We start from the raw sequence: 7368 nt of genomic DNA, 5'->3' as shown, positions 1-7368 counted from the left end.
ACTGCGTAGTGCGCACGCGCGGGTGGGCGGTGTCCGCCTCCGCGGGTGAGGCCGGCTCCAAACCTCGTGAATGTGGGGGCGAAGGACGCTGGCTGGCTGGAGGCAATAAGCCCTCACACGGGAACGTGTGGTTGTGGGAGCGGGGAAGGCGGCGAATTGGGGAGGTTGGGTTTGGTTAAAGAGCTCGAGGAAGGGCCTCAGTGTCCACACGTGATCTCCTGAGAGGATGAAAAGCAGGGCCAGGCGCCAGTCCCCTAGGAGACCGGTGTGCGTGCCAGCCTCGGGGGTGTGCGCAGGCGCGGGACCTCGCGCGTCCGCCTGCACCAATCGTGCGAACGCGCTTGTGCGTGTGGCGCTGAGGGGTCGGGGCCTCAGGCCGGGGCTGGTGGTACTGTCCCCGAGAGGCGGGTGAGCGCACGCCGCGTGGCCTTGTTTGGGGGCGGGGCCACGCGCCCGCATGCGTGGTGCGTGTGTGAAGGGGGGTGCAGCGCGCGGTCCCGGGGTCCCGGAGGGGAGTGCGCAGGCGCTGAGTCCCTGCTCGGCTGTCTCGGTGGTCGCCGCCGGGGTCTGAGCCCGGGAAGACCGAGGTAAGGGGGCTGGCGAGAGTGTGGGTGTGTCTGAGGGCGTGGGCGGCGCGCCCGCCACTGCGTGGACGTTCCTGCCAAGGCGCGCGTGGGTTTGCGCATCCACGATGGCGTGGGCGTCTGCGCGGGTGCTTGCGTGGGCGGTGGGCTCGCGCCTGCGTGGGTTCTCGGCCCGCCACGGCGTGGGGTTTGCGCCCTTCGCTGCTGTGGTTCTCGGGGCTTGTGCGCCCAAGTGTGAAGTTGGCGCCGCGTGTGAGGCGAGCCGTGTGTGCCTGTGTGTGAGGGAGCTATGTCGGGACCGCGGATGTGTATCGCTGCGTGACCCACGCGAAGGAAACAATGGAGCCATTGGGAAGCCGGGAGTGGGTGTGTGACGCTGACTGTGAAGATTTGTGTTTCTGGAGTGTGTGCGTGTGTCAGTGTCAGGCTGATGTGGGCGTTTATTGTAGCCTTGGGTTACTGTGTGACTTGCCTGGGCGTCTGTCTGCCACTTAGCGTCAGTGGCTTTGCGGTTATGAGTGTGTGACTGTGCCTTTCTGGTGTATATCTCACTGTAACCATGGAAATGGAGGCCCACAGGGGAAGAATTCTTAGCAGCTCTAAGATGTGATGGGCTGCCCTGGAAATCTGTGGAACTGTTTAATTGTGCATGACTTTCCTCCTTGGTAAAATAGCATATTAATAGCACCTGCCTGGGTGTTATTGGGAAGATTAAATGGGATGACGTAGCTGAAACACCCTGCACAGAGCTTGTCACATACTAATCACCGTGTTTAGGTGTTGGTTATGGTGCTGGTGGTCGTTTTTCTTTGACCCTATACAGAGGCAGAGGTAGTGGTGAATACTGGAGGACTTTGCATCTCTGAGCTTCGGACTGGGCTATCTTTGTCCACATACCAGGGCATCTGACCATCTCCAGTTGAGCAGTGGTGCGCTGCCCCCGCCAACCACCTGCGTCGTCAGTTTTCTGCATGTGTACATTTGAGTGGAGGACAGAGCCCTCCACTGACGCTAAGTATGGTTGTGTCCCCTTCCTACCAAGGTAGCTTGGAAAAATAAGAGCATGGACTGTGGCGCCCCGCTGTCTGGTGTTGACTCCTGGTTTCACCACTGGCTGGCTGTGTGACTGAGAGAGCTTACTTAAGTCCACCACTCCTCGGTTCACTTGTAAAACAGTAGTAATAACAGAACCAACCTCAGGTTTATGGTGAGCATAAGTAGAACTTGGCACAAGGAAGTGCCACATCAATGATCATCGTTTTATTATTAGCATAATAACCGCAGGCGTCCCACACCTGGAGAATAAAATCCATAGGTAGAAATGCAAAAGGATGAGCCCCAGAGTAAGGGTTGCAGGTCCAGAGGTAAAATAACTTGGACGTCTAGATCAGGGCTTAGGTTCAGAATTGTGTAGGCAGGGTCCTGGGAGGGCAGCATTAGGGTAGAGGAGGTGGGGTCAGGAACAAAGGATCTTCCTGATGGAGATGTCCCTAGGGAGCCCATGGGGTCAAGAACAGAACTTTGAAGTGTCAGGGACTAAGGGATGTTTCCATATAACACATGGGTCTGGAAATGTTTCTGTCCAGACCAGTGTTTCACAGCCTTGGCACTGTGACATTTGGGGCCAGATAGTTTTTTGTTGGGAGGTGGGAGGGGCTGCTATTCTATGTATTATAGGATGTTGTGCAGCAACCCTGGGCTCTATTTACCAGGCCAGTAGCACACCGCGCCTCCCTCTGGGTTGTGACAAGCGAAAAAAAAATGTCTCCAGACACTGTCAGATGTCCCCTGCAGGGGCAAAATCACTCTGATTGAGAGGACCGTGATGCAAGCGCATGGACAGACCGAAGGCATGATGACAGGGAGAAGAGTAAGGGAGCTGGGGAAGGCGGGGCACGGAGAGATGATAAAAGGATAGTGTTCTGAGATGAGAAGAAACGGCCTGCAGCCCGGGTAAGCTCCGAGATGCATTCATTCATTCAGCCAGTGAGTGCCTACCATGGATTGGGCACTGTGCTAGTCTCTCAACAAAACAGGCAAGGTTTTTACTCAGCTGGAACTTGCATTTAGTAGGAGAGACAAAAATAAAGTCTATAATAGGTGCTGATAGGTACTTTGAAAAGTAAAGCAGGGTAAAGGGATTACAGGGTGTTTGGCAGGTGTTCTTTTTGGAGTCAACATCCAGGTCTCCCATGGGCATTTTGGTCAACTCCAGAGCCAGGAAGGACCACCAGCAGTGACCCTTTGGTATCACTTGATTGGGGAATCTAAGAGTTTGACTTTGATCTTAACCAAAGACTTTTCTCTTCACTGAGGTCTGGACTTCAACAGAAAGAGGTCAGATCTCTAGCCCTGTCCTTGAGACTCTGAGACTCGAACGTTATTCTAAACGATGCCTTCAATGTTACTCTCACCTTGGAATGCTTTATTTAAAAAAAGAAAAAAAAGGGCGGGTCAGACTCAATCCCCAGAGATTCTGATTTAATTGGTCTGGCATAGTGAACTGCCATCAGCTGTGACTATTTATTAGAAAGCTCCCAAGAGACTAATGTACGCACAGGGTTAAGAGCTACAGCTCTGAGTGCCTGCAGCTCAGGCTCCTTTGGGGCCTCTGGGAATGAGATAAATTGATTTGGAGGAGTCAGGGGGAGGATGCAAGTGACCTCTGCTTGGCTATCTTATCAAAAACAGTCCTCACAGCTGCACTTCCCTGCAGTAGGGGTATTCCTAGCCCCATCCTGCAAGTGAGGTAACCTAATGTGTTCCCGGGCAAAGTGGGGAAATGGCAGGCTAGACATGCATATGCATAGCCTGTGTTCTTCCTGTGACAGCTGTGCTGACGTCTTTGGAGAAATTGCCTACGTATGTCCCTGGCCTCTGGGGCTGGCAGGTTCAGGCCAGGAGTGATTTTTGAATATTTGACAGCTGGTACAGCAAAAGCTGACTGGCCCAAAGGAGGCAATGAGGCTGTGGCAGTGCATTTAATGGCTGGTTTTCAGTATATCAGGACCCTCCCCCAATTCAATACCCAGCACAGCCCCCAAGGCTCAAAGGGGTGCCAGGGCAGGAGGGGAAGGCCCCTCAGTTATTTGCCTCAGAAGGGAGGCACAACCACGGTTCAGTAACTCTTTGAAGCATGTTCCCATCCAGGTTCCAGCCGTCCTCACCTCAGGAGGACATAGCTTTGTGCCTTTCAAAGCCCTTTCTCATCTATCATCAGGGACTCGGAAGACGAGCCAGGTTTACAGCCCTGCCTTGATGTGGTATGTGCGATCCAGCCTTCTTTTATTTCATTTGTTGTTTTGAAGATGTAATTATACGTTCATGACACAAAATGCCAAAGCGGGTTTTGGATTTTTCCATACTCACACATATAACCTGGTTCCTTTCTTCAGGGACAGTCACTGCTACAAACTTTTTGTTTATCTTTCCAGAGCCTTTTCAAAGTCATGTATTTGTATACTATATTTTGTTTTTTTCTAAATGACTTTTCTATGTTTTTGCCCTTATAATACCATTTTATCTTGGAGGTTTTTCAGCCTTGGCGCAGTTGATGTTTTGAACCAGATCCTTCTCTGCTCTGGAGGGCTGTCCTGTGCATTGCAGGATGGTGAGCAGCATCCCTGGCCTCCACTCACTAGATGCCAGGGGCACCCCTACTCCCAGATGTGACAACCAAAAATAGCCTCAGACATTGCAGTTTTCCCATAGGGGGCAAAATTACCCCCAGTTAGGAATCACTACTATGGTTCTACTTTGTTTCTTTTAATATGTGGTGTCTCATTATATGCATGTAATATTCACTTAGCCATTCTCCTATTGATGGGCTGTTAGGTTGTTTCCAATCTCCTGATGGTGGTAGTAATAATGAAAATCTTAGCATTGGCCCTGCTTCCTGGCACCACTCTAAATGTGTTACGTATTTTGACTCATTTGATCTTCACCACAACCCTGTGAAGTCATTACTGTGTTTTGTCTCATCTTACATATGAGGAAGCTCAGGCCGGGAGAGGACACATAGAGTGTCTAAGTCCACACAGATAGCGGACGGCAGAGTTAAATACTGAACATAGACAGCCTGCTGCAGGCCCACCCCTTACCCAAGGAAATGTACTGCCCCTTTCTATAAACTCTGCCATTGTGAATACCTTTGTGTGTCTCTCATTGTGCACATGTGCAAAGATGTCTGAAGACATGTACAGGAAATAAGGTTGCTGGATTAAAGAGTACAACAGGGGTAAATAACGTGTATCTTCGGTCTTAAAGACATTGCCAAATTGCCCTCCATTGAATTTACACCAATTTATCTCCTCCAGCACTGGATAAGAATTCTAATCTCAGCCTTTTTAGTGGGTCTCAGTCTTCGTTGGTCTCTTGGATGCTTGGTATGTGGTTGACCCTTGAACAGTGCAGGGGTTAGTGGTACCAACCCCCTGTACTGTAGAAAATCCACATAGAGTTTTCACTCCCCAAAGACTTAAGTACTAATAGTCTACTGGTCACCTTACTGACACCTAAGCAATAACCTACACAGTCTATTAACACATATTTTGTGTGTTACATGTATTGCATACTCTATTCTTACAATAAGCTAGAGAGAAGAAAATGTTATTAAGAAAATCATAAGGAAAATATATTTACTGTTCATGAAGTAGAGTGGTTTTCATCGTCATGGCCTTCAAGTTGAGTAGGCTGAGGAGGAAGAGGAGGAGCTGGTCTTACTGTCTCAGAGGTGGAAGAGGTGGAGGAGCCGGAAGGGGGAGGCCGGAGAGGTAGGCACACTCAGTGTAACTTCTATTGAAAAAAATCTGCATATAAGTGGACCCTCACAATTCAAACTAACATGGCTCAAGGGTCAACTGTATTGTGAGTTGAAAAGGAAAAGGAAGGCAAGCAATGACCATGTTCCAGTTACCGAAGACATCACATGTAAATATCCTAACAGCAGAGGTGAGGTAGGTTTTCTTTACCCCATTGTATAGATGAGCAAACAGGCTTTGTGTAACTTTTTCACAGCCAGTAATTGGCAGAGGCAAGCTTTGAATCCAGGATTACCTAATATCAAACTGCTGTTCTTTCTTCCCCAGTAGTGCCGAGTTCCTTGAAGAAAATTATTTTATGGACAATGTATGAGTCTGTTTTCGTGCTGCTGATAAAGACATACCCAGACTCACAGTTCTACGTGGCTGGGGAGGCCTCACAATCGTGATGGAAGGTGAAAGACACGTCTTACATGGCCACAGGGAGAATGAGAGTCCCTGTACAGAACCATCAGATCACATGAGACTTACTCACTGCCATGAGAACAGCATGGGGGAAACCGCCCCCATGATTCAGTTATCTCCCACCGGGTCCCTCCCACAACACGTGGAAATTATGGGAGCTATAATTCAAGATGAGATTTGAGTGGGGACACAGCCAGACCATATCAGACAAGAATCATCTTCTCAAATTTGGGGTGCGTGGCTGAGTGCACACACCTGTGAAAACTGCGGGATGAATGCATTACAACTTCCTGGAACAAGTCATTTTACCTAAGTAATTGGAAGGGGAAAGCCAACTGATCTGCTTATCTGGTAAATCATTTAAAACATGATTTTTACATTAACACAAACCCAGATTTATTATGAAGTAATATGCACAAATGAACGTGTTTCAAAACAAGAAATCAAAAGAGTTTTCTGTTATGGGCAGCTGCTTTGGGATATATCTCAAACCATAGAAATAGGCATTAGCCCTCCTGTACTCTTCAGGGATATCTGCCCAAAGTTTAAGAATTCCCAGGCAAAGAATAGGGCTTTGTTCTCAAAGGCCCTGCAGCAGTGGTGTGCTGGAGCTGGCTCACCCAAGCCATTCAGCCCCATGCCAGGTGACATCAGTTCAATAGCTTACAACCTGCTGTGGTGGGAGTGTGTATTAGTCTGTTCTCACACTGCTATAAAGAAATACCTGAGACTGGTAATTTTTAAAGAAAAGTTTAATTGGCCCACGGTTCTGCAGGTTGTACAGGAAACATAGCAGCTTCAGGGAGGCATCAGGAAACTTTTACTCATGGCAGAAGGCAAAGTGGGAGGAGGTGTCTTACATGGTGGGAGCAGGAGAAAGAGGCAGGGGGGGTGGGGCTACACACTTCTAAACAACTGGATCTCGTGAGAACTCTTATCACGGGAACAGCACCAAAGGGATGGTGCTCAACTATTCACGAAGGATCCACCCCCAAGATCCAGTCACCTCCCACCAGGTCCCACTTCCAACATTGGGGATTACAATTAAACATGGGATTTGGATGGGGACACAGATCCAAACCATATCAGAGTATTTACTCCATGGAAGTTGTAAACACTATAAATCACCCCTGCAGCAAGCTGCTTATTAAACATTCCCCAGCACACCGTTGTCCTAGGGTCTAACACAGCCCAGAATTCAGGTGTCCAGGATTCAGGGCAGGCCTCTTGGTCCCCATCTCTGTACGAAGGAAACCTCGCTCAGAAAAGTCAGAATCGAAGGCCAGTCTGCTCAGTTCGTCACCGAGCCCTCGCTCCTCAGTCTTAACATGATATGCTCAAATTTTCCCCAACTCCTGTGGCCACTCTACTATGACAGAAACATACATATGGGGATGTTTTCCGGAAGCATTTCACCACACCGATGCCTCCCGTGCCCTGCCAGGGTGGATAGTGGACTCCTGCCATGTGTGAGGAGTGCAGAGTGTGCGGCTTGTGGATAGGGCCTCAAATCCAGGCTCCATCAGTTAAAGCTCTGTGACAACAGGCGGGTCATCGTC

At 49.4% G+C, this 7368-nt stretch overlaps 1 protein-coding gene across 20 annotated transcripts in view; it reads left to right on the top strand.

Annotated features, from left to right (window-relative positions):
• Positions 1-7368, top strand: part of ZNF667 (zinc finger protein 667) — a 38765-nt gene that overhangs the window by 235 nt on the left and 31162 nt on the right. For 2 of the 20 annotated variants that reach the window (XM_047439207.1, XM_024451638.2), the window contains exons 1-2: positions 514-3847; positions 5237-6160. The exons of 1 other annotated variant lie outside the window; for it this stretch is intronic. The gene's annotated coding sequence lies outside the window, so the exon portion shown is untranslated. Of the gene's footprint in view, positions 1-31; positions 266-325; positions 409-513; positions 3848-5236; positions 6161-7368 lie in introns of those variants that run through there. 17 more of the 20 variants (NM_022103.4, NM_001321355.2, XM_047439210.1 and 14 more) reach the window with 16 other exon arrangements.

Source organism: Homo sapiens, chromosome 19 (assembly GCF_000001405.40).
Source record: "Homo sapiens chromosome 19, GRCh38.p14 Primary Assembly".
Classification (NCBI taxonomy): domain Eukaryota; kingdom Metazoa; phylum Chordata; class Mammalia; order Primates; family Hominidae; genus Homo; species Homo sapiens.
Note: the sequence above shows the minus strand (reverse complement) of the source record. Positions and strands in the feature narration are given on the sequence as shown.